The following is a 26,843-nucleotide window of genomic DNA, read 5'->3' as shown; positions in this document are numbered from 1 at the left end:
AATGTATGTATATATATATATTCACTTAGATTCATTTCCTTAAGGTAGAGTTTACATACAATAAAATGCACAGATTTCCAGTTGGGTCAATTTTGATGCACAGGTAAATCACATCCCAATAAAATGTAAAGTAACGACATATCGACCCTCATGATGGCCCTTCCCAGTCTGTCCTCCTCTCCTCTGTCCAGGCAACCTCTGATCTGATTTCTATCATCCTAAAAGTGTATATATATATATACGTATTTGAGACGGCCTTGCTCTGTCACCCAGGCTGGAGTGCAGTGGCACGATCTTGGCTCACTGCAACCACCACTCACCGTGCTCAAGAGATTCTTGTGCCTCAGTCTCCCAAGTAGCAAGTAGCTGGGACCACAGGTGTGCACCACCGTGCCCAGCTAACTTTTCTATTTTTAGTAGAGATGGGGTCTCTCCACGTAGCCCAGGCTGGTCTTGAACTACTGGACTCAAGCTATCCTCCCGCCTCAGCCTCCCAAAGTGCTAGGATTAGAGGTATGAGCCACCACACCAGTCCAGAGCTAATATATGTTTGACAATAATACGAGGGAGGTGGGAGAAAGGACTTCAAATCATATACCCATGCATGATCAATCATGTGACTTCTTGGGGTTTTGAGCTCTAGTCATAGAATAAAAGTAATGAACCTGCCAGTATTTCCCAAAATGTGTTCCCTGTTGATTATATGTTTGGTAATAAAGGTATCCCCATCACACTGTTGTGTCTGTTATCTTTCAGGGTCCTCTCCCTTTGGACCATATCTCTCTTTGAATATCTCTCTTTGAATTTAGGAGGTATGCAAATGAGACAGAGATAACAAGAGCAGGTAGATATGCTGAGGCCAAAATTACATTCGAATAAGTCTGGAAACAATGGTTCAACAAAGTTAAACATTTTTTTGTAACTGCAGAACAAAATAAGTGTGCTAATTTATGTTGGGTGTCTCCGAGGAGGAAATCAAGTATACAATGCTTCTCAGACTCATCTGGCCGCAAGATCCTTTATGATGGTAATATGGCTTGCATGTTTGTCCCCTTCAAATCTCACATTGAAATGTAATCCCCAATGTGGGGATGGATCCCTCATGCATGGCTTGGTGCCATCCTTGCGGTAATAAGTGAGTTCTCACTCTTCATGTGAGATCTGGTTGTTTAAAAGAGTTTGGAACTTCCTTCTGTCTTTCTTGCTCCCTCTTGCCGTGTGATACACTGTCTTCTTCTTTGCCTTCCACCATGACTGGAAGCTTCCTGGCCTTCACAGGAGCAGATGTCAGCACCATGCTTCCTATACAGTCTGCAGAACCATGGGCCAATATAGCTCTTTTTTCTTTAAAAATCACCCAGCCTCAGGTATTTTCTTTATAGCAATGCAAAAAATGGACTAACAGATGGAGTATATGAAAGAGCAGTGAGCGTTCTGCCAACCATAGAATGTGATGAATTGAAATTCATCCTGCAAAAGATTTTGCTTCTTTGTTTTTTGTTCTCATTAACTATGAATGATTAATTTTTTATCTTTTTAATTATTTTTTATTTTAAAAACACTTCTTTATTGAGTTACGATTGCCTAGATAGTCTTTTAAGTATAGTCATAAAAATAACAGAGAGTAAAAGGAAGTTTCCCCATTTTTCCCTGTCCCAACTTCAACCCCACTTCCCAGAGTAACCAATGTCTAGAAGTCTGATGTAAACTTTATAGCTATATAAAGTGAGTGTGCAGCTGGATGCGGTGGCTCATGCCTGTAATCCCAGCACTTTGGGGGCCAAAGTAGGAGGATCACTTGAGCCCAGGAGTTCAAGACCAGCCTGGGCAACATAGTGAGACCCCATCTCTACAAAAAGTACAAAAATTAGCTGGGCATGCTGGTGTGTGCCTGTAGTCCTAGCTACTAGGGAGGCTGAGGTGGGAGGATCGCTTGAGCCCAGGAGGTTGAGGCTGCAGTGGGCCATGATTGTGCTACTGTACCCCAGCCCGGGTGACAGAACAAGACCCTGTGTCAAAAAAAAAAAAAAAGTGTGTGTGTATATATGTATGTACAGTATACCTACTTTTCTGTGTGGAAGTGGCATCATACTTACATCTTGCCCTGCAACCTGTTCTCTCTCTTATCCTTCCATAGCCATACATTAGTAACTCCAGGTCTATTTCATTCTTTTTAGCAGCTTTGTAATATATTTTGATATCTGGTAGGGTTAATATCTTCTTTCATATTCTTCCATGTTTATTCTTCCAGATGAAATTTAGAACATTTTATTTTGTTTCCCCCAAAATATTTTTTGAATTTTAATTGTGACCACATCAAGATTATAGCTTAGTGGGGGGGGGGAGGAATTAATATCAATACAATATTGAATCCTTTCATTAAGAACAAAGGATACCTTTCTATGTAAATCATATTTTATGTTCCTAAGATGAATTTTTAAGTATTTCTCTGATAGGCCTTATACATGTCTTGTTAGGTTTATTTTTTAAGTATTTTGTTACTTCACTGATATTACAAGTTTGTTTTTTTGTTATTCTTGGTTATTATTTTTATAAAGAAAAACTATTAGTTATGGTATACTAGTTTTACAAATAGATACCTTATAGGATTCCTTCTTTTCTTTCTCTTTCTTTTTTTTTTTTTTTTTTTTTTTGAGACAGATTTTCACTTTCTCACCCAGGCTGGAGTGCAATGGTGCGATTTAGACTCACTGCAACCTCTGCCTCCCAGGTTCAATTGATTCTCCTGCCTCCGCCTGCGGAGTAGCTGGGATTACAGGCATGCGCCACCACGCCCTGCTAATTTTGTCTTTTAAGTAGAGATGGGGTTTCACCATGTTGGTCAGGCTGGTCTCTCACTCCTGACCTCAGATGATCCACCCGCCTCGGCCTCCCAAAGTGCTAGGATTGCAGGTGTGAGCCACTGCACCCGGCCAGGATTTCTTATTTTCAGTTAATTAATTTTTTTTAGTTTTCCTGATATATAATCATGTTGGGAGTAAATAATGCCAGTGGTATCTTTTTTTTTTTTTTTGAGACGGAGTCTCGCTCTGTCGCCCAGGCTGGAGTGCAGTGGCGGGATCTCGGCTCACTGCAAGCTCCGCCTCCCGGGTTCACGCCATTCTCCTGCCTCAGCCTCCCAAGTAGCTGGGACTACAGGCGCCCGCCACTACGCCCGGCTAATTTTTTGTATTTTTAGTAGAGACGGGGTTTCACCGTTCTAGTCGGGATGGTCTCGATCTCCTGACCTCGTGATCCGCCCGCCTCGGCCTCCCAAAGTGCTGGGATTACAGGCGTGAGCCACCGCGCCCGGCCGGTATCTTTTCCTTTCCAAAAATTTTCAGTCACATTATATCCCACTGGGTTTTTGCATCTTATGGTATATTTAGAACAATATTACCTATTAGTGGTAATAGTGGAAATTCTTGCTTATTCCTGACTTTAATGGCAATATATCAGACATTGATGTTGGGTTTTAGTTTGTAGGATGTATAAAAATCATGTCAAGAAAATCTATTTCCATTCATTTCTATTTACTAAGATTAAAAAATACTCAGAAATATATGGTGAATTTTATTATATGCCTTTACAACATATATTGAAAATACCATACAACATATATTGAAAATATCATAAAATATTTTCCAGTTTTTAAATCCATTGATATGGTGAATTACATTAATAGCTTCTTAATACTGAACCATATATGCACTACTGAAATGAACATTGAAGGTAATTAATAATGCAAGAAAATTTCCCATAACTGAAAGACATGTGTTTCTAGCTTGAAAGGCCCTAGTGAGTGTCTAGTTAAATAAGTACTTTTTAACCCATGTGTGGTGGCTCTTGCTTGTAATCCCAGCTACTCAGGGGGCTAAAGTGGGAGGATTGCTTAAGCCCAGGAGTTCGTGACCTGGCTGGGCAACATAACGAGTCCCCCATCCTTAAACAAACAAACAAATAAATAATTTTAAAAGCCCACTCCAAAGCACTTTATAGGGAAATTTCTGAATATTAGACACGAAATGCCTTTCACATATCCATTTTACAGAAAGCTGCTAGATGTTCCCCACTACAGTGAAGGATTAAACAAAGAATGAAGAAGAAGTAGGACTCAAGAAGTAAATGATCCAACTCAAGAAAGAGGTAAAGGGAATTCTCAGGATAAAGGCTCAACCAGGCCTGGAAAACAAACTGTCCACATTGGAACAAGAGAAAGGAGGGAATCAAGGAAAAAAAAGGGATCTGGGGTGGAGGTGGGGGTGTAAAAGTGCTCAGCTATCTAAAATGTTTAATTAGGCCAGGCGTGGTGGCTCATGCCTGTAATCATGCCTTTGGGAGGCAGAGGCAGATGGATCACCTGAGGTCAGGAGTTCGAGATCAGCCTGGCCAACATGGTGAAATCCTGACTCTACCAAAAATACAAAAATTAGCTGGGTGTGGTGGTGGACGCCTATAATCCCAGCTACTCGGGAGGCTGAGGCAGGAGAATCGCTTGAACACGGGAGGCGGAGGTTGCAGTGAGCAGAGATTGCAGCATTGCACTCCATCCTGGGTGAAACAGAAAGACTTTGTCTCAAAGAAAAAAATAAATAAAAATAAATAAATGATAAATAAATAAATAAAATAAATAAAATGTTTTATTATATGAAAAATTGTATTGGGAAGCTATTGGAAAACATGGAAAGAATTAGAGATAAAGAAAACAAAAATTTAAAAAAAATACAATAACTAACAAGGTAGTACAAATTAGTTTGGACAGAGAAAGTTCAACTCTTTCCTACTGTTCATCAGATCGGGAAGATAGAGACAGATAATGCTAATGTTTCTTTCTCTCAGGGACACAGGGCAGCTATAAAGTGTCATAATGATTCCCTAAGAAATCCCTAAAGCCATGCACTATGAGAAACTTTGCTAATTGAAATAAACATCAGCAGGAATGAAACATCCCACTCTTGCCTGGAAGATCTAAGTCACTCTGACACAAAAAAAGGCAGCCTTGATTTACAACCCAGGTGCAGAACTTCAGATACGAATTTTGTGTGATTTCTAAGGAAATAGGAGCCTGGGTCCCCCTCTGCAGTCCAGACCTGATGTTAATCTCTTCCCACACAGCCCTGCTTTGCACCTATCGAAACACTACTTCATTTAAATTTAACCTAAATTCTGGCCGGGCACGGTGGCTCACGCCTGTAATCTCAGCACTTTGGGAAGCTGAGGTGGACAGATCACGAGGTCAAGAGATCGGGACCATCCTGGCCAACATGGTGAAACCCTGCCTCTACTAAAAATACATAAATTAGCTCGGCGTAGTGGCACGTGCCTGTAGTCCCAGCTACTCGGGAGGCTAAGGCAGGAGAATCGCTTGAACCTGGGAGGTGGAGTGAGCCGAGATCATGCCACTGCACTCCAGCCTGGGCTACAGAGCGAGACTCCATCTCAAAAAAAAAAAAAAAAAAAAAAAGAGGCTGAGCGCTGTGGCTCATGCCTGTAATCCCAGCACTTTGGGAGGCTGAGGCAGGTGGATCACGAGGTCAGGAGTTCGAGACCAGCCTGACCAACATGGTGAAACCCCGTCTCTACTAAAAAAAAAAAAAAAGCAAAAAGTAGCTGGGTGTGGTGGCGTGCTCCTGAAATCCCAGCTACTCAGGAGGATGAGGCAGGAGAATTGCTTGAACCCAGGAGGCAGAGGTTGCAGTGAGCCGAGTTCCTGCCATTGCACTCCAGCCTGGGTGACAGAGCGAGACTCTGTCTCAAAAAACAAACAAACAAACAAACAAAACCTTAAATTCCACCCTTCTTCCAAATCCTAGAATAGCTCTGTAATTTCCTTTGATGAGATACTGCACGGTTCCTCTGGTGTGAGGTCTCTCCATGGTTGCATGGTCTACAGGTTTGTCTCCAGAGGGCTTAGGCTGACTGGACTAGAACAATTTGGAGGTTCTTGAGATTTGAGCCTTGCTGCTGCAACTGGGAGGGGAACCTTGCCTCAGTAATAATGTGCATATCTGAGACCCCTTATGTCTCACCTGCCCAAGGCCTCTCTGTCTCCAGCTGCATAGGATTTACATTGAATCTGGATGCTGATCACAATCTCCTTTGGCCCTTTGGTGTTAGGTTATTATATATCTCCTGAGATTTGGGAGTTCTAATCGGACTTTGGTATCTTCTGGTGAAATCTGGCTTTTTTTTTTTTTTTTCTGAGATGGAGTTCTGCTCTTGTCGCCCAGGCTGGAGTGCAGTGGCATGATCTCAGCTCACTGCAACTTTCACCTCCTGGGTTCAAGCAATTCTTCTGCGTCAGCCTCCTGAGTAGCTGGGATTACAGGTGCCCACCACCATGACTGGCTACTTTTTGTGTTTGTATTTTTAGTAGAGACGGGTTTTGCCATGTTAGCCAGGCTGGTCTCGAACTCCTGACCTCAGGTGATCCACCTGCCTCAGTCTCCCAAAGTGCTGAGATTACAGGTGTGAGCCACTGCACCCAGCCTGAAATCTGGCTTTTAACATCTCTCCTGTCTTTTAGCTGCTTGTCCAATGTGTTATATGTTGTTAGTCTCTGAGAACATTTCTCAGCCCTGTCTATGCTTGAATAATTTGCTTCGGGAGAGCTTCTGTTTATACATTTCACCTTCTGGGAGACTGCTGATTCTTGGGTCAGCAGTTGGGACAGCTTCACTTTATGGATGAGGGCAGGAACCCTTAGAAGCAATGTCTTTAGTTTTGACTAACCATCAGCCAATTTCTCATGGGATTGTCATTGTCTTCCAATAAACTTATGCTACTTTCTGATATAACTTTATTGAGGATGATTTAAAGTTGTAGTGACCACTTTGAGGAACATTGATATGAGTAAGATTGCTCATTAGAGCAGTGCCTCAGAATAAAAGGGGCTAGACTGTCTGCCTTAAGCAGAGAGAATGTTATTTAATGTAGGAGACCCCTCTCCATCCTTTGCTTGTGTATTTCAGGGACTAATAACTATTGATTTTTTTTGTATTACAATGGCTTGATAATATTGTCAAGGATCTGAGTTATCGTTAAACCATTAGTAAGAACTCTGTGCATGAAAATATTTTTTCTGCATCTAAACTTTCTCCTCTCTCCTTGCAGAGGAAAAATAAGTAGCCTTTTACAGTGATAGTTTCTTATTTGTTTCAAGCTGTCTCCCTCTCAGAGACAGAGAAAATCTGCCTTTTTTTTTCAGAGATGGGGCCCTCACCATGTTGCTCAGGCTGGACTTGAACTTCTGGCCTCAAGTGACCCTTCTGCCTCCTGGGTAGTTAGGACTAAAGGCATGCGCCACTGTGCCCGGCTGATCATTTATTTGCTTTTATAGGTCACTAAATATAGAACAGATTTTGTGATGTCATCTTGTCCATCAGCCTATTGCCCCACTGATGCACAGAGAGTACATTCTACTAGGAGGTTACACCCTACCCTCCAATAGACAAGACACCAGAGCATCCATGCTAGAGTGTTCCTCTGCCAGTTCTTCCATGATGGTTCTCTCTCTCAGGGCTTCTGATCTACATAGGTGTCCTTGAGAAAGCCATACAATGCTGGAGACAAGTGGGGTGCTGTCTAATAAGCAGCCCCCCTCCTTTCTCTTCTTCCCTGTGGTGAGAGGTGGGTTTCTGTGTTGTCCAGATGTGCTTACATCTGCCTCCTTACAAGAAGCAATAGACTTTCATTCAGTCATCAGATCTCATTAACTGATAAAACATGGGGCAGGAAGGGGTGAAAGGGAGAACCAGAGAAGATTGTTAGTGTAAAGAGACTGTCTGAAAACAGCTAGGTCTTCTAGCTCTGATTTTTTGACCATCCTGAGAGTTTGGTTATCTTATAAGTCATGATGAAAAGGAGCTGAAAAAATATTTTTAAAAATAAATTAATACGATAGGCTTTTATCTTCAAGGGGGTGTCCTGGAAACAATATTTGATTGGGCATTAGTAATGATTTGGAAAAGAAATGAAGAGGTAGGCTGTGAAAGTGATGTCCTTACCACAGAAATTAAATGACCAGGATGACTGCTGGGAACCCCAAAGTGCCCTGGAGCAGGTTACACAGAAAAGGAGGCCAGTTTCCATAAGCAGGAGCCTAAAACTTAGGGCTCATCCTATATGTGGAGAGTCTAGATCTCAAATTTGCTTTGTTTTGTTTTGTTTTTGAGACAGAGTCTTGCTCTATTGCCCAGGCTGGAGTGCAGTGGTGTGGTCTCGGCTCACTGCAGCCTCCACCTCCCGGGTTCCAGCAATTCTCCTGCCTCAGCCTCCAGGGTAGCTGGGATTACAGGTGCACACCACCACGTCTGCTTAATTTTTATATTTTTAGTAGAGACGGGGTTTCACCAGATCTCATATTTGTTTCTAAAAAAGAGCATGTATGCATTTGGTATATAAACTCCTTAAACAGGGTTTTACATAAGGTCTCAGATATTATGACAATTAACAATGCCAGTCCTGTTTCTGCAGATGAAGGACATGGTGACATACTATCTGACATCAAGAAACTTTCCTCCATGCCGCTCTTCAGCAACTCTGCTGCCACTTTTATTATTGTATCTTAGTTTCACGGCATTTATGAAACTGGAAGGAAACTTTAAGATCAAGTTCAATCTCCACATTTTACAGACAAGAAAGCTCACATCAGAGAGATCTAAGTGACTTGCTCAAAGTCACACAGCTCTCAGTAGCACAAGCCAGGTCTGACTCTGAAGTCCCACAAGCTCTCAAAGTAGCACAGCTCTCAGTAGCCAGGTTTGACTCTGAAGTCCCTTGATCTTCCCAGCAGCCTACAATGCTCTTGAGCTCTGTTTTTTATATATAGCTTGGGTTCCTCAACTAGATTAGAAATGGCTCCAGGCCATGGAATGTGGGCTTTTCTCATACACCCCTCCCCATTCTCCTTCAAGACCATAGTGTAAAATATGTACTGAATTCAGATTTACGACTTTCCTTCTATATTTCTTCCTAAATCATGCCTTGATGTAACTTATTGTCTTCTAGGGGGAGATAGAGGAGAGCTGCAGGAGAGTCAGCTAAATTGTGCTGTTACAGGGAGTAAAGCCATTTGGGAGCCTTAATTAATATTAAAATATCATGCACTGGTTTTGCCCTGAGGCCATTTATGTTTTCAAGTGGGTTGATCGGGATGAAGGTACTTAGGGAAACTTTGACATATTTCTGCCAACCTTTAGATGACTCTAGGATATTGATGAGTGACAGAGAGTTTAATCCTAAAGAGACAATCTGATGTTGATAGTTGCCACAATCCATTAATCTACACAGAAGGGTGGAGCAAGGATCCCCAGGCATTAGCAGATTTCTAAGAATACATTCATTCTTTTTTAACTCAAAATTCCATAGGGCTGTCTTCATAAGTCAATTCAGTAAAGCAAATAGTTATTGACTGCCCACATACAAAACACTATGTTAAACACTGGAGATAGAAGAAAAGATAGTTCTTGCTCTGGAGGGGATATAATCCTATAAAGCATATATTTAAATAATCCCATTATGATAGAGTAATATTTCAACAGAAATTTTTTTTTTTTTTTTTGAGATGGAGTTTCACTCTGTCGCCCAGGCTGCATGCAGTGTAGTGGTGCGATCTCAGCTCACTGCAACCTCTGCCTCCCAGTTTCAAGCAATTCTCCTGCCTCAGTCTCCTGAGTAGCTGCGATTACAGGTGGTTGCCATCATGCCTGGCTAATTTTTGCATTTTTAGTAGAGATGGGGTTTCACCGCGGTGGCCAGGCTGGTCTTGAACTCCTGACCTCAAGCGATCCGCCCGCCTTGGCCTCGCAAAGTTCTGGGATCATAGCATGAGCCACTGAGCTTGGCCTCAACAAAAATCTTTCTTTCATAATATTGTGTATAAGTAAAAAGATTGTTGGAATCAGGCTATCAATCTCCAAACTAATGAGAAAACTAATAAGCTTTACTTTGGAAAAACAGATAATCAAACTTTCTAGGTATAGATTATCTACTGATGAAGGCTATAAGTAAAATATTCAGTGAGGGCTCGTATGTTCACATTCTGTTACTTACTCACCATTGCTCTGTGGTGTGATAAAAAGAGCAGCAGACCAAGAATTAGATAATCTGGGATAAAGCTCTGGTTCTGCCTATGTAATAGTTTTGGGAGGTTAAGGTATCTAACCTTCTGGAGGCAGTTTGCTCATCTTATTTTTATTTTTTGAGGCTGAGTCTTGCTCTGTCGCCCAGGCTGGGGTGCAGTGGTTCCATCTTAGCTCACTGCAACCTCCACCTCCTGGGCTCAAGCGATTCTTCTGGCTCAGCCTCCCAAGTAGCTGGGATTATAGGCACCCACCACCACACCCGGCTAATTTTTGTATTTTTAGTAGAGACAGGGATTCGCCATGTTGGCCAGGCTGGTCTCAAACTCCTGACCTCAAGTGATCCACCCACCTTGGCCTCCCAAAGTGCTGGGATTACAAGCATGAGCCACCGCCCCTGGCCTTTTTGCTTATCTTTAAAATGAAGCAATTGGTGAAGATGATTTTTCTTAAGTTCTTTTGGGGCTCTAACTTCCCAAATTATGTTAATCCATATCTGAAGAATGGTACATATAAACAGAGACTTAAACGATTAAGTTAAATTCTCCCTATTTTGACAGTGAGAATGAAAAAAAATTAAAGAAAAAATGGAAGATTGAAATGTCCTAGGCCTTATATTTTATAAATTTCTTTTTTTTTTAAATGAATTGCATGGTTTTGTTTTTGTTTTTGTTTTTGTTTTTTGAGACGGAGTTTCACTCTTGTTGCCTAGGCTGGAGTGCAATCGCACAATCTCGGCTCACCGCAACCTCCACCTCCTGGGTTTTCGAGCAATTCTCCTGCTTCTGCCTCCCGAGTAGCTGGGATTACAGGCATGTGCTACCACACCCAGCTAATTTTGTATTTTTAGTAGAGACAGGGTTTCTCCATGTTGGTCAGGCTGGTCTTGAACTCCCGACCTCAGGTGATCTGCCCGCCTCGGCCTCCCAAAGTGCTGGGATTACAGGCATGAGCCGCCGCGCCCGGTCTGCATGCTTTTAAATAAATGTCTTAATCATATACCTGCCTTGGTGATTATAGATCATAGTCACTTCTGTTTTTTGTTTTTTTTTTGAGACGAAGTTTAGCTCTTGTTGCCCAGGCTGGAGTACGGTGGCATGATCTTGGCTCACTGCAACCTTCGCCTCCCAGGTTCAAGTGATTCTCTTGCCTCAGTCTCCTGAGTAGCTGGGATTACAGGCACCAGCCACCATGCCCGGCTAATTTTTTTGTATTTTTAGTACAGACAGGTTTTCACCATGTTGGCCAGGCTGGTCTCGAACTCCTCACCTCAGGTAATGCATCTGCCTCGGCCTCCCAAAGTGCTGAGATTACAGGTGTGAGCCACGGTGCCCAGTCGTCACTTGTTTTTAAAGGAGGATCTGGCACTGGATAATCTAGCACATCATCAGATTATGTTTGATAATGTATCAAACACATAATACATCTTAAGTAATTGTTAAGCACTTACATAAAATTCTGAGCTACATGGGTGTGAAAGAAACATAATGAGAATTTTGATTCAGTTGCAAGATGAAACATTATGAAGTGAGAGAATTGGCTTACAGTAGTGTGAGTAGTACAACCAGTGCTGCAGAGTATGAAGGTGAAAGCTGGGCTCCTGCAGGAACTTCAGATACCAGACTTGGAGGGGTCATCTACTCCCTTTAACCCCCTCTCCTCTGACCCTTGCATATTCCAGTCAGGCAGGACTGGACAGAAAAGGCAGGGCTTTATATGGTAGCAAATATAAGGTGCTTTAAATTCTCACATCAATAAATACCTAAAATATGATGCATAAACTGACCCAAATAAAAGAGATTTAAGGCCCACTGACCTTTTTAGTTTTCTATGGAAAGGAGGGGAACTCACTGTGACTTATTTTTTGTGTTCTGTTTATTCTAAGATGTTTTAGTACTAAGACAAGTTAAGAGTCCCTGAGAATAAGAGCTGTTTTTGTTGTTTTTAAATACTAAACATTCTCCATCTCTCTTTAGTCAACTTTTCGGAATCAAAATGCCTAAAAAGCATACAATTGGATTGTAACAATGTTCATGGCTTCTAATACATCAGCCTCAAAATGCTTAATTTTATTTTCTCTCAATTTTCCCTCCAGATGACCAAGTGGAATACCTTTTAAAGGCTTCAAGACTTTTCTTTCCCACTCCTCCCTGCCCATGCGAGGGAGGCTCCATTTTAAAATGTAACACACACACACAAAAAAACGGATTTGAAATAAGGCATTAGCCTGAGGTAACTTACCCCCACCTTGGCTCCAGAGCAGCTTGGATTTCCGATTCTTTGAGCAGGTCAGTGATTTGGGGAACCAGTAAAAGAGCCGGGCTATTCTTCTGAAGGTCTCATGAAAGTCACTTCTTATGGCCATAGCGAGAACCAGGAGTGTTCCAGAATGACTCGCTACAGAGAGCATGGATGAGGAGCACAGTAACACCCACATATGACACTTTAGCTGTGAACTGCCTTTCAGCCAATATGTCTGGGGACCACCTGTTAGCCCTAAATCCCCTTCCTCTGTCATTCTTTTGGCTTGTCCTTTAGACCTTGGCCCTCATAACTAGAAACTGTATTAATAGATGTTCTTTCTAAAGAAAGAGTTTTAAGCTTTCTTAAGAGAAGCTCTAACCTAATGCAACACTTGGTAATTTTCAAGCATGGACCTCCTGACCTCGTTCATAAAAACACAATTTTTTCATAGAGGAGTGAAAAAAAACAGGATCCACTAACTCAACTTCCAACAGAATTGTCAGTGGTAATTTGCAGGACTTAGTGGTGATGGACAAGCAATCTCCTAAAGCCATAGCCTTGATCCCATTTGTTTTGTGCATTTTTACTGGAAAAATGAAACCTATTTGAAACTTTAGCAGGAATTTATCCCAGAAAAAAAAAAATTAGTTCTTATGAGTCAAAAAATGTGTAAAAGGGCCAGGCACAGGGGCTCACACCTGTAATCCCAGCACTTTGGGAGGCTGAGGTGGGAGGATTGCTTGAGCCCAGGAGTTCAAGACCAGCCGAGCCAACAAAGCGAAATGCTGTCTCTAGAAAAAGGAAAAAAAAAGCTGGGCATGGTGGCACGTACCTATAGTCCCAGCTACTCAGGAGGCTGAGGTGGGAGGACTGCTAGAATCCAGAAGATGGAAGCTGCAGTGAGCTATGATAGCACTACTGCACTCCAGCCTGGGTGACAGAGCAAGACTCTTCAAAAAAAAAAAAAAGATGCAAAAGACCATTTTCCCCCAGGGTCCTATTTTGATCTTTAACCATTTATTGAACAATTCTCTAGAACTTCTAACATTGTAACATTACTGAATCCATTTCAGCATTTCAGCAGACATCAATGCCTAGTTGTCTACCACGCAGCTTGTACTGAGGTTCCCCATCATCACTCCTAAGACTATGTCTAACAGTTGGTCCTTGTGCATTCTGTTTATGTCAAAAGAAATAAACTTATTCATATATTCATTTAGGAGCTAAGTCGATTAAACAGCCTGATGTAATATTTGGGCTTGCTTTTTATATGCCACAGCAAATTTTTGGAGCTGATTTACTCTCTAAAGAGAAACAACGGATATTATTATATTGCCAGTTTTTATTTCCAGATCAGATGTTTTTGTTTCCTATTCCATTTTCAGTATTTCTTAGGAATTTGGACTTTGATTCTTCTTACAAGTGACAAGTGGGGAGCAAGTCTAACTAAAACAACAGTGTAAGAGTTTTTCAGGTCTTCTTAAAAGTGGGATGTGGGGTGGAGAATCCAGCTAAAATAGTAAAGATTTCTTTCAATGTTTTTCCCTTCAACTATGTGTGTCTGCCCCAGCACTTCTCAGTTTCAAAAATTTGTTTGAGTAATTATAAATTTTCTGCAGCACTTCCTCAAAGACAAAGCACAACATATAAAACACATCGGAGTGAGGTGAAATTAGAAACAAAAGACTAGCTCTTGGCCGGGTGCGGTGGCTCATGCCTGTAATCCCAGCACTTTGGGAGGCTGAGGCAGGCGGATAACCTGAGGTCAGGAGTTTGAGACCAGCCTGACCAACATGGTGAAACCCCGTCTCTAATAAAAATACAAAAATTAGCCGGGCATGCTGGTGGGCATCTGTAATTTCAGTTACTTGGGAGGCTGAGGCAGGAGAATCACTTGAACCTGGGAGGTGGAGGTTGCAGTGAGCTGAGACTGCGCCACTGCACTCCAGCCTGGGCAACAAGAGTGAAACTCCATCTCAAAAAAAAAAAAAAAAAAAAAAAAAAAAAGACTAGCCCTGGTGGTGGCTGTTCTGAAAGGGGAATAAATTGTTGACATTTCAGTTGAGAGTCCTTATTCCTACTGATAGTCCCTTTCTTAATTCTAAACAATGTATCTCTTACTTTTAACACAGACCACCACAAAAGGTAAACACTATTGCAAAAAACAAAAACCAAAGAAAAACAATCTAAACCAAAACAATCATAAAAAGTTCAGGATTATTGTAATTTTTTTCTGGATAATTTATGGATAAAGACACTACATTTGTAAAGAAATGTTGATTTTTTTTAATATCTAAGAAGCATTTCTTTTGACATGGTATAATCAGGTCTATAAGCCAATAATTTGGTAACCTCCAAAATAATGGCAGCTGGATTTTTTTTTTTTTTTGAGATGGAGTCTCACTCCGTTGCCCAGGCGCGATCTCAGCTCACTGCAACCTCCGCCTCCTGGGTTCAAGTGATTCTCCTGCCTCAGCCTCCCAAGTAGCTGGGACTACAGGTGCATGCCACTACACCCAGCTAATTATTTATTTATTTTTATTATTATTTTTTTTTTGAGATGGAGTCTTGCTGTGTTGACAGGCTGGAGTGCGGTTGGCATAATCTCACCTCACTGCAACTCTGCCTCCCAGGTTCAAGCAATTCTCCTGCCTCAGCCTCCCAAGTAGCTGGGACTACAGGTGCATACCACCACGCCCGGCTAATTTTTGTATTTTTAGTAGAGAAGGGGTTTCACCATGTTGGTCAGGATGGTCTTGATCTGTTGACCTCGTGATCCACCTGCCTCAGCCTCCCAAAGTGCTGGGATTACAGGCGTGAGCCACTGCGCTCAGCCTAATTTTTTATTTTTAGTAGAGACGGGGTTTCACCATGTTGGCCAGGCTGGTCTCGAACTCCTGATCTCAGGTGATCGGCCCGCCTCAGCCTCCCAAAGTGCTAGGATTACAGGCATGAGCCACCGTGCCCCGCCGGCAGCTCGAATTTTAGGAGACTTACTTAATGGGATTATTTTTCCCATTTCTTTCCTAACCTTACATTCCTGTTTATTTACTTGAAGCTATCCCTTATTTTTTTATTTTTTATTTTTGAGACAAAGTCTCACTCTTGTTGCCCAGGCTGGAGTGCAGTGGCACAACCTTGGCTCACTGCAACCTCCGCCTCCCAGGTCCAAGCTTTTCTCTTGCCTCAGCCTCCCGAGTAGCTGGGATTACAGGCGCCTGCCACCATGCTCAGCTAATTTTTGTATTTTCAGTAGAGACAGGGTTTCACCATGTTGGCCAGGCTGGTCTTGAACTCCTGACCTCAGGTGATCCGCCCGCCTTGGCCTCCCAAAGTGCTGGGATTACAGGCGTGAGCCACCGCGCCCGGCCAAAGCTCTCTTTTGATATACTTTATATTCACATATTTCACTTTTATTTTTTCTGCTGTCAGTACTATAACTTGTTTTATGCTAAGAGTTACATCTACTAACGCTTCTATTTTTTTTTTTAATTTTTTGAGACAGGGTCTCTCTCTGCCACCCAGGCTGGCAATCATAGCTCACTGTAACCTTTAACTCCTGGACTGAAGCAGTCTTCGCAGCTCAGCCTCTGAGTAGCTGGGACTGTGGCACATGCCACCATGCCTGGCCAATTAAAAAAAAATTTTTTTTTTTTTTTTGTAGAGACAGGGCTCTTGCTATGTTGCCCAGGCTGGTCTAGAATTCCTGATCTCAAGTGATATCCCTGCCTCAGCCTCCCAAAGCGCTGAGATTACAGACATGAGCCATCACACCCATCTTCTATTTGTTATATATACTATTTTTATACCATTAATTGCTATCTTTTCAAAACATTATAATATTTTTAAAAAGCTACTAAAGTGAAGATACAACTTATTTTAAAGCTAATTTCATTTAAATAGTCACTGAACATTAGCAGACTGGTATCATGCATTTATTTATTTAAAATGTTTTGAAAAATAAATGTTTTGAATGAGGATGCATTTTTGAGGGTAAAATACTGAAAGCAAGAATGCTTCTCTTCCATGTCACTGTAAGGGGGAAATAAAAGAGTAAATCTCAAAAAATACTACTGTGGAATAGATATATTCCTATCAATACTATTAATAAAAATACAATCGCCACATAAAGGTTCTATTTATTGGTGTTGTTTGCTAGAGGTGCTGAAATAAAAACTAAATTGGCAAATATATCAAATAATCACATAATTTGAGTAAAATTTTACCTAATATTCAGTGATATAAGCTTTTAAACTATACAAGATACCCATATTAGACGGTCAAATGGAAAATTAAAATAAAGAGGGATTAAATACTTCCTTGCCCCACACACTCTCAAACTAAACAGGTAACTGACAGTGGATAACTGTATTATTTAAATAAAGGCATTCACCCTTGCATTTATTTGTTACGTGTACATATGACGCTTAAAATTCTCCACTACAATAATGCATCATAATCTCACTTAAGATCCTAATCATTTCTTAAAACTGATGAAGTTACTGATGTTCTTGGTAGACAAATTTATTTCTCTTTAGGATATGTTATTTTTATGATACGCGGGTTTTATGTAATCACACTTCACCAGTCTGAAAAGCCACAAACCAAAACCAAAAGAAAGAAAAGTCCTGTTGGATGAAATAATTTCTTGCTGAGCACAATCCCTTAGTCTAGAACTCTGAGTATATTTTTCAGAGAAAATGTTCCTTTTCGGCTGGGCGTGGTGACTCAACCCTCTAATCCCAGCACTTTGGGAAGCTGAGGCGGGCGGATCACTTGAGGCCAGGAATTTGAGACCAGCCTGACCAACATGGTGAAACCTCATCACTACTAAAAATACAAAAATTAGCCAGGCATGGTGGTGCACACCTGTAATCCCAGCTACTTGGGAGGCTGAGGCAGGAGAATTGCTTGAACCTCGGAGGCCGAGGTTGCAGTGAGCAGAGATCACACCACTGTACTCCAGCCTGAGCAACAGAGCGAGACTCTTGTCTCAAAAAAAAAAAAAAAAGGAAATGTTCCTTTTCAATTTGTATAATAGCCTAAGTATATGAAAGAACTTCATACTAAATTTAGAATTAGTGGGTTTAGAAGAGACAGAAAATTGTCCCTAGATCCAATATTCTGAGTAGTTTATGATTATCATCTATATTGTTACTTTCAAAAGATAACTTTTGTTTCACAAACTGGATACAAAGAAACACATGAACTCTTTACATTAAAATTGAGAAATTTATTTTTTTCCATGAAATAGTAAGCAGAATTAAAGAAATATACAGCTTAAAACAGTTGAAATGACCTTAGAATTTTAATGACAATTACACATTTATGGCCAAAGGAAAAAAATGAATAGTTTTTAATAATGAATTCACTTTAAAATGTTTGCTTAATAATTCATCTGAAATTACATGGATACAAGGATAACTGGGATCTGGGCACCTTGTAAAATAAAATAATGCCACTTTATCCTTCTCAAAAAAATTGTTATCCCAGTATAACAGTGGTGCGGTTCTGCTCCCCACTCACAGTAGCCACCGTTCTACCATTTACAAACGTGTCAAGTCAGTCTTCCTGATTTGTAAGGATGCCTATTTTGGTTCCACTTAAAAATATTTCCAGTAGGCGGTCAGAGAAAATAACTTATTTAGCCCCACTCAGAGTAGAGGATCAGTATGTCAACATATTGGTCGGTCATGGCTTTCTTCTCGTGATCACTGAGGTCAAATTTCCTCATATAATTATAAATGTTAAAAGATAAAATTACATCTTCACAGCAGCCAAAAATTTGTATATTTTTTATGTATTTACAATATTGTACATATTTACACGACCACATCAAATACTGAATTGTAGAAACAAGTGACTATCTATAAAGGCATTCATTTAATGCCCAAGCGTTATTTTCTTGTGCAAACGGAAACTTTTCTTAAACTTCTATTAGAAAGCTAAAGACAGTCAACGTTGCGAAGGCCACCATCCATGGTTAAAGAGCCAAACCTAAAACACACACACAAAGAAAAAAAGGTAATCTCAAAAGTTGCATTTATGTATAAAGGCCCCCAACCTTAAAATACTTTTCAGAGGAATAAATAGCTATTTATTTTTAAAGAGTTTAAGTAACTATGATTTGTTCTATTTCTTACTGGAACAGCATGGTATTATCATAAATACATGAAAAACCGATGTAATGATGTAATTAAGAAACTGTCAGTAAGAACTGGATAATTTCTTTCTGGTGGGGTGGGATTTATAAGCTAAGATAGAATTGGGGCCGGCGCAGTGGCTCACGCCTGTAATCCCAGCACTTTGGGAGGCCGAGGCAGGCAGATCACTTGAGGTCACAAGTTTGAGACCGGCCTGGCCAATATGGCAAAACTCCTTCTCTACTAAAAATACAAAAATTAGCTGGGTGTGGTAGCGTGTGCCTATAGTCCCAGCTACTCGGGAGGCTGAGGCAGGAGAATTGCTTGAACCCGGGAGGCAGAGGTTGCAGTGAGCCGAGATCATGCCACCGCACTCTAGCCTGGGTGACAGAGTGAGACTTTGTCTCAAAAAAAAAAAAAAAAAAAAAAAGATACCGAGTTGGGAGTGTGACATACCCAAAGGAAGTTGAGAAATGAGACCTTGCTAGAACACAATGTTATTTTGGGGAGCAGTGGGAAGTAAAGTTGGGTGAACAGGCTGGAACCAGGCTATTACACTCTTTGAATTGAAGTATAAATTTAGACTTGACTTTTTAGGTAACAGGAGTTTAGAAACTTTTGAGCCAAAGAAGTCATACGATTACATCAGTATTCTGAAAGATGATTTTGGCTGTAATACCCATGACAGATGGGAAGAGCTTGGGGTTAAGAAAAAAAATAGGTTATTACCATATATCACATATGAAAGGGAAAGGAGATCTGAATGAGGGTGACGAGGGGAAATATGGGAGCCAAACTTGTTGAGAGGGTATAAAGAAGATTAAGTGTCTAAAATAATTTATGTTTAAGGGAGTAGGAGAAAGGTGGTACCTTTGAACAGGATAAGGAGCAGAGAGAAAACTGAGTTGGGACAGATGATTTTAGATTCAAAAAAAAATTTGAAGTGATAGTGGGTTATCCACATGGAGACAGAGTAGTATAATACTCTGAACAAAATCTGGCTTCCATTACTAGTTTTGTCACTTAACATTTACGTTAAGATTATGCCATGTTATATCACCTATATATTGTCAAGAAACCTGCAAATAAAACACAGGAGGAACTGACTTACTAAATGTGGTTTAGGAAGTTGGGATTTTATTCCACAAGGCATAAGTAGTTAAATATAAAAGTTAAAAGCACATCTTTGGCTGGGCACGGTGGCTCACGCCTGTAGTCTCAGCACTCAGGGAGGCCGAGGCAGGTGGATCACGAGGTCAAGAGATTGAGACCATCCTGGCCAACATGGTGAAACCTTGTCTCCACTAAAAATACAAAAATTAGCTGGGCATGGTGGCGTGTGCCTGTAGTCCCAGTTACTCGGGAGGCTGAGGCAGGAGAAACGCTTGAACTCGGGAGGTGGAGGTTGCAGTGAGCCAAGATCGCGCCACTGCACTCCCGCCTGGCGACAAAGCGAGACTCCATCTCAAAAAAAAAAAAAAAAAAAAAAAGCACATCTTTATAGTCTCTTCTACTTGGTGATCTTTAAGCCTAAAAGGATTTAGCTAAAGTTCTGAAGAAACTGTAAACTGGATACTATAAAAGTTAGATAATTACTATAAACAAGGAAAATATTTTTTAAAGTTAACGAGTAACTCTCCCCAAAAATGAAAATTGAACAAACATATTAAACGATGTTTGACATCACTATAAACCACAGAAATATAAATTAAAATAAGATCTCGGTTTTTACTAAACAAATTGGCGAATGTTTAAAAGATGTTATACATTCAATGTTGCCAAATGCATAGGTTTTATCTGCTTAGGACTATAACATGCACCCTTTTAAAGAACAAAATTGGCCGGGTGCGGTGGCTCATGCCTGTAATCCCAGCACTTTGGGAGGCTGAGGCAAGTGGATCACCTGAGGTCAGGAGTTCAAGACCAGCATGGCCAACATGGTGAAACCCCAGCTCTACTAAAAATACAAAAAACTAGCTGGGTGTGGTGGTGGGCGCCTGTAATCCCAGCTACTCAGGAGGCTGAGGCAGGAGAATCACTTGAACCCGGGAGGCAGAGGTTACAGTGAGCTGAGATCACGCCATTGGACTCCAGCCTGGGCAACAGCGAAACTCCGTCTCGGGGGAAAAAAAAAAAAAAAAAAAAAGAATAAAATTAGTAAAACCCAACAAAAATTGAAATTGACATACTCTCTGACCCAAAAATTCCATATCCATTTTTTTTTTTTTGAAACAGGGTCTCACTCTGTCACCCAGGCTGGAGTGCAGTGGTGTGATCTCGGCTGACTGCAACCTCCATCTCCCAGATTCAGGTGATTCTCGTGCCTCAGCCTCCCCAGTAGCTGGGATTACAGGTGTGCACCACCATGCCCAGCTAATTTTTGTATTTTTGGTAGAGACAGGGTTTTGCCATGTTGCCTAGGCTGGTCTTGAACTCCAGAGCTCAGGCAATCTGCCTGCCTTGGCTTCCCAAAGTGCTAGGATTACAGGTGTGAGCCACCGTGCCTGGCCAAATGTGAAATATTTTTATTAGCATTACAAGCGTTTGAGAACCTATAGAGGAGAACCTAAGGGCTTGAAAAAGAAAAGGTTCTATTACAGAGCCAAATATGACTTAATTTCTCTGAGGAATCAGGATAAGGAAAACTGCCATCCAAAAATTGCTTTATTGCCTCTGCAGGCTTTCAAATCTCTTTGGCCTTATCTATTAGGATTTTGCAGATAATAAGCAGACACCTAACTCCTCAAAGTACTGCATTTACCTGTGGCTTTCACCTGCAAGGAGGTGTGCAGAGGACCCCGTAAGCTACTCAGCACCAAAGTGCTGGTATCTTAAAAAGCAACTCTGATTCACCAAATTGAAAATTATGATTCCAATGAATTAAGTTATAAAAATAATGTAAATAGAGTTTGATCTTTACAAACTGATTCAAATAAGTAATTCGATTAACCAGTGCTTCTATAAAATGGAACTAATCAACCATTAAAAGGCATCACAGATACACAATCATAGAGAGAAAAACATGAGTTCTGACTTTATGACCCTTTACCACTGCTGAATCTATTGATACAGGAAGATATAAGTACAGATGTGAATGAACTCAATTGCACAGAAAATCACAGTAATTATTTTTGCATTACTCACCTTTCTAAAATGTGGTTATTTTCAGCAAGTTCTTTAACCACCCCTTCCATCTCTTCCTTTAATTTCTTCATACTAATAAAATAAACAAGCACCTTTGCTCAAAAACAGTATGCAAATGTTTTAGAATGATGTTTATGTTTTATTTTCTTTTAACTGGTCAATAGATAACCTTATTAAACATTGTATTACAACAAACATAAAAAATTTCAAAATGTAAGAGCAAAAGCACAAACTGCAATGAAAGCAAATGGAAACACTACAGTTTCCAAATGATGAGTTTCTTACCCAAGAGTCATTTCTACTAATGTGTTAGAACTTGGATAAATTGGGGTCATGGTATGTTTGATTCCACTGGAAGCTGTAAACATTTTCTGAGGCAGAGTTTCTTGTAACTGAAACATCAAAAAAAAAAAAAAAAGAAAAAAACCCCACATTAATCACAGAACAAAAGTACTTACTACAGATCTGACATCAAGTGTTACAGCTTTTAATAAGTCCTTTAAAAAAACTTTAAATTTTGATTTCAAAACTATCGATGATACAATACTTAAATCAACACCCTTTTAAGAAAGAAACTTTTCATACAGTTGATAAAAGGATGGTTTATCAGCTGTTTTTAGTTGTAAAACATCTACATTCTTAAAACTTGGCTCAAAATACATATTAAAAATTGGTGGGTGGAACTGAATGTAGGCACATTCTATCCCATTTCTCCCTTGTCAATCACTATCAGTTATAAACTGAGAAGAATTTTAATTTTTCCTTGACAGCTGTACCTACCTCATTAGTATATTCTTGATATTTTGATACTTCTTCTTCAATATCAAAACACTGATTAGTCAGCGATAATAACTGTTTCCTAAGATGAAGCATCTTTCTGAAAACCAAAAAGAATCAATTGATATGCAGTCTAGTGAAGCATTCTTACTTCAAATATACATTTATATTGTGCAGTCAACCACTAATCACTCCAAAAGAAGTTTACTCACCTTATCCATTCTTCTGACTTATTCAAAAATGCCTCATACTTTTTAACACATTCATCTGTAAAGTGCGTCATAGCTTTTGTGGCATGGTAATACAGTTTTTGCCTGTAATTTAGAAATAATCAGAGGCTTAAACCAATGTCACTGTTTCTACTTTCAATATTTAGAAATTTTCAAATATATGAAATGTATCTTTCCTATAATGATTGTTGTGGCTTTAGAATATTTACAGGAGAAAGTAAACGTTTCTAAGATAGACATTATAGCAGCAAGAAGATAAAGAGAAGGTTCAAAATGGATGTAAAAAAAATGCCTATTGAATGCGGTTAAAATTAAGACGGTAGTTAAGTCTGCCCTTGCCTATGTGCTGTATTATCTGTACTTCTGTAATCAGAGCATATGAGGCAGAAGCTGACTGACTGAAATGGTAATCTTTCTCCCCCCTCCTTCTCCCATCATGGTAACTTCCCAATTAGGGAGCAGATGTGTGAACCTCAAAAATGTCTACATATTGTAACAATCCTGTAAAATCAAGATTAAAATGTATTTTTAAATTGTAATTAATTTCAACTTTAAGAAGAATCATATTAATAAAGATAACCAAAATAGCACCAAAAATAACTATTAAACATAATCTGGATACTTACTTATCAAATTTGTGGATTTGTTCTTCATTATAAGCTAATCCTAGAAATAGGAAAATATATTACTGTTGTTAATATAGAATCATAATATTATACACAATGTATTTTCTTTTGAGATTATTGCTTCAAAAAGGCTAAGAGTCTGAAGCAGATGTCATAGATTTGTGGCTCATTGGTTACTTATGGCCCACAGATGCTTTTATTTGGTCTGTAAATAACAATGTAAAAAACAATTAACAGTTAACATTTAAAAATCAAGGTATTTCTAACAAATTCTGTATTTCTAGCTTTTTTTGAGAAATGGGAAGATTGGGCAATACCTTTGGTGAATATGAGTAGTGGCTCTCCCCTGTAGATGAGTCCCCACTGGCCAATCTCATTCCTTTCTGTTACCTGCCTGGCCTTTAGAGGTTCTGGTGTTCATGACCCTGATTTAAAGTATTCAAAAGGTTGATTTTAAGGATAGTTTTTTTTTTTTTTTTTAACACAATCAACCTTTTTCCTGACAGAATCACATCTCTGAAAAAAACAGCTTAAGAAGCTACCCTTACAGATATACCAAATTAATTTAACTGAATTATAACTAATTACTAAGAGGGATTTATTAAATTAACAAATAGCAAATTTTACTTACTACGTTCTGCTTTGTCTTTTTTGAACTGATAGTAAATCTCTGTCATGCAATTTAACAGGACTTGTAGTTTTTCTACACTATTTAAGGAAGAAAAACTCAAATAAATTAACTGAGTCAATGTGAAAAAGGACATTAATAAGAGCAGAAACTACGCATAAAGCTATAACCTACTTTCTGTCTTTCGGATGAGTGCCTTCTTGATGTGCCCATGCGTCTGCCAGTGATCCACCTGGAGATAATCTGCTGTCGATATCCTGAAGACTGGTTTCTATTGTTCCCTGAGAACTGGAAAGCTAAATAAAACCAAAGGTTCAGATCCAGATTGCCAAAAGCCAGAAATGATCATCACAGTCCCAACAAAGTCTAAAGTCTGGACCACATTTCTTTTGTAGATTACTTCAATTCAAAGGCACAGTAATTATTTCCATTTTTAAATACAAAAGAGTTTCTTAGGTTGATTTCCACCAGGGGTACAGTATGATAATAAAACATGAGACCAGCAGTAATACATCTTATAAAACAGTTCATTCAGTAAACACCCTTCTAAAACCACATGTAAAATACTTCTAATCTTGTTTCCTTATCTGTAAAAAGTGGTTAATTCTCCATTTCATAACCCGGTTTTGAAAATTAAATAGAACCACTAGAATAGTTCCAAATATCAACTGTGTAGGCAGCAAGATTTGTGCTCTTCTTGTTTAGAGGCCAAACCAAAGCAACTCCTCTTAAAAACAGAAAATGAAAAGAAACCTCATCTAAGATTCTGTTCATTTTAAGCTTAGTAAGTTTATCACTTACCTACCACAGAAATGCATACAGTATTTGTAAAACTTATGAAGAAAGGATGAAGGTTAGACTTAAAGGATAAATATGTCCATATATTTTAAAGGTCCTGATACACACTATTGCCTTTCAAATAATGTTGTCAGTAGTAGCTGACATTGCCACTAGCAACAAATAAGGATGCCCTTTAAACCACACTCTTGTCAGCACTGGCATTATAATTTTTTAAGCCTTGATAATCTGAAAGACAAAAATAGTATCTTACTGTTATGCAATTTTTTCTTACTATTGGATTTGAGCATTTTTTCAAGAGTGTTTTCACCAGATATATTTTCTTCATTTATAAATTGTCTCTAAATGTTCTGTGCTCATCTATTTTTTGCAGATTGACTATTTTCCTTATCAATTTGTATGAGTTATTTTTTATAAAAAACCCTTTATCACATTTTCCCAACTTATTTGCATTCTAACATTTTTTAAACATGTACAGATCTTAAATTTTTATTTTATTTTTGAAACAGAGTCTCATTCTGTCGCCTAGGCTGGAGTGCAGTGGTGCAATCTCAGCTCCCGCAACCTCTGCCTCCTGAGTTCAAGCCATCCTCTCACCTTAAGCCTCCTGAGTAGATGGGATTACAAGTGCGTGCTATTGCGTCTTGCTAATTTTTTCTTTTTTTTCTTTTTTTTTTTTTGGTAGAGTTGGGGTTTCACCATGTTCCCAGGCTGGTCTTGAACCCCTGAGCTCAACCAGTCTACCCCCACCTTGGCCTCCCAAAGTGCTGGGATTACAGGTATGAGCCACTGTGCCCAGCTTAAATTTTTATATGATCAAATATATATCTCGGTTTTTATGCTTTATGTCTGTTTTAACATTAATGTTTAGAATGTGTTAAATTATACATCCAATATATGGAAAATAGTTTATGGAAAAAGTCATTTCTTACAGCATTACATAGAAGAGTGAAAAGCAAACTAAAGGACCAACAGTAGAGCAATAATAAGTAAGACTGTAATAAATCCACTGGCTGCAACATCATATCATTAAGAAAATGGTGTTACCAAAAAAACCTGGGAAATGCCTACACTATAATGGTATCCAAAAAGTAAAAATAACAACCATATGTTTGTAGAGTAACAGTCATTTAATAATACATATAAAAGAAAATGAAAACAGTGATTACCCAGATTTTAGCAGCATGAGAATCACCTGGAAGGCTTATTAAAAAGGGCCTTTGCTGGGTTCTGCCAGTGAGTTGCTGACTCAACACATCCGAGGTGGGGTCCCAAAATGTGCATTTCTAATAAGTTCCCATGTGAGGCTGAAGCTGCTGGCCCAGGAGCCACTCTTCTTTACTTTTTTTTTATTTTTTGAGACAGGGTCTCTGTCGCCCAGGCTGGAGGACAGTGGCATGATCTCGGCTCACAGCAACCTCCATCTCCCAGGTTCAAGTGATTCTCTTGCCTCAGCCTCCCCAGTAGCTGGGATTACAAGCGTCTGCCACTACGCCCGGCTAATTTTTGTATTTTTATTAGAGACACGGTTTCACCATATTGGCCAGGCTGGTCTCGAACTCCTGGCCTCAAGTGATCCGCCTACCTCAGCCTCCCAAAGTTCTGGGATTACAGGTGTGAACCACTGCGACCTGTGGCCCAGGAGCCACTCTGAGAAGCACTGCTGCAGGGCAATGGACAAAACTTTTAAGCATCATTTTTTGGGTGCATAATATATGTGGTATTTTTTTCTACTTATAAATTTTACTTTTGTGGTGGGAAAAATGTCTGTAAGGTCTCCACTACGAAGCCGGGCGCAGTGGCTCACGCCTGTAATCCCAGCACTTTGGGAGGCCGACGTGGGCAGATCATGAGGTCAGGAGATTGAGACCATCCTGGCTAATACGGTGAAACCCCGTCTCTACTAAAAATGCAAAAATTAGCCGGGCCTGGTGGTGGAAGCCTGTAGTCCCAGCTACTCGGGAGGCTGAGGCAGGAGAATGGCGTGAACCCAGGAGGCGGAGCTTGTGGTGAGCCGAGACTGTACCACTGCACTCCAGCCTGGGCAAAAGAGCAACTTCGTCTCCAAAAAAAAAAAAAAAAACAAACAAAATTAGCTGGACGTGGTGGCGGGCGCCTGAAGTCCCAGCTCTCAGGAGGCTGAGGCAGGAGAATCACTTGAACCCAGGAGG

General features: G+C 39.9%; 2 protein-coding genes and 1 long non-coding RNA gene across 7 annotated transcripts in view; 1 reads left to right on the top strand and 2 right to left on the bottom strand.

Annotated features, from left to right (window-relative positions):
* The window catches only part of RASSF3 (Ras association domain family member 3), a 190,601-nt gene extending 177,912 nt beyond the window's left edge, over positions 1-12,689 (bottom strand). Inside the window, exon 1 of one of the 2 annotated variants that reach the window (XM_047428712.1) lies at positions 12,324-12,689. In XM_047428712.1, the coding sequence (XP_047284668.1) occupies positions 12,324-12,600 (277 nt within the window). In that variant the 5' untranslated portion in view covers positions 12,601-12,689. The remainder of the gene's footprint in view (positions 1-12,323) is intronic. The other variant, XM_047428711.1, reaches the window with a different exon arrangement.
* LOC105369803 (uncharacterized) overlaps positions 1-13,537 on the top strand; it is a 31,065-nt gene extending 17,528 nt beyond the window's left edge. Inside the window, exon 4 of the long non-coding RNA NR_188079.1 lies at positions 12,178-13,537. This is a non-coding gene — a long non-coding RNA (uncharacterized LOC105369803). The remainder of the gene's footprint in view (positions 1-12,177) is intronic.
* TBK1 (TANK binding kinase 1) overlaps positions 17,539-26,843 on the bottom strand; it is a 49,995-nt gene continuing 40,690 nt past the window's right edge. For 3 of the 4 annotated variants that reach the window (XM_005268810.2, XM_005268809.2, NM_013254.4), the window contains exons 14-21: positions 24,049-24,170; positions 23,878-23,954; positions 23,247-23,286; positions 22,603-22,704; positions 22,394-22,490; positions 21,899-22,005; positions 21,614-21,685; positions 17,539-18,323 (exon numbers count right to left, since the gene is read on the bottom strand). In XM_005268810.2, coding sequence (XP_005268867.1) covers positions 18,272-18,323; positions 21,614-21,685; positions 21,899-22,005; positions 22,394-22,490; positions 22,603-22,704; positions 23,247-23,286; positions 23,878-23,954; positions 24,049-24,170 — 669 coding nt within the window. In that variant the 3' untranslated portion in view covers positions 17,539-18,271. Of the gene's footprint in view, positions 18,324-21,613; positions 21,686-21,898; positions 22,006-22,393; positions 22,491-22,602; positions 22,705-23,246; positions 23,287-23,563; positions 23,672-23,877; positions 23,955-24,048; positions 24,171-26,843 lie in introns of those variants that run through there. The other variant, XR_007063071.1, reaches the window with a different exon arrangement.

This window comes from Homo sapiens, chromosome 12 (genome assembly GCF_000001405.40).
Source record: "Homo sapiens chromosome 12, GRCh38.p14 Primary Assembly".
NCBI classification, from domain to species: domain Eukaryota; kingdom Metazoa; phylum Chordata; class Mammalia; order Primates; family Hominidae; genus Homo; species Homo sapiens.
The sequence above is the reverse complement of the archived record's forward strand: the minus strand, read 5'-3'. Positions and strand labels throughout refer to the sequence as shown.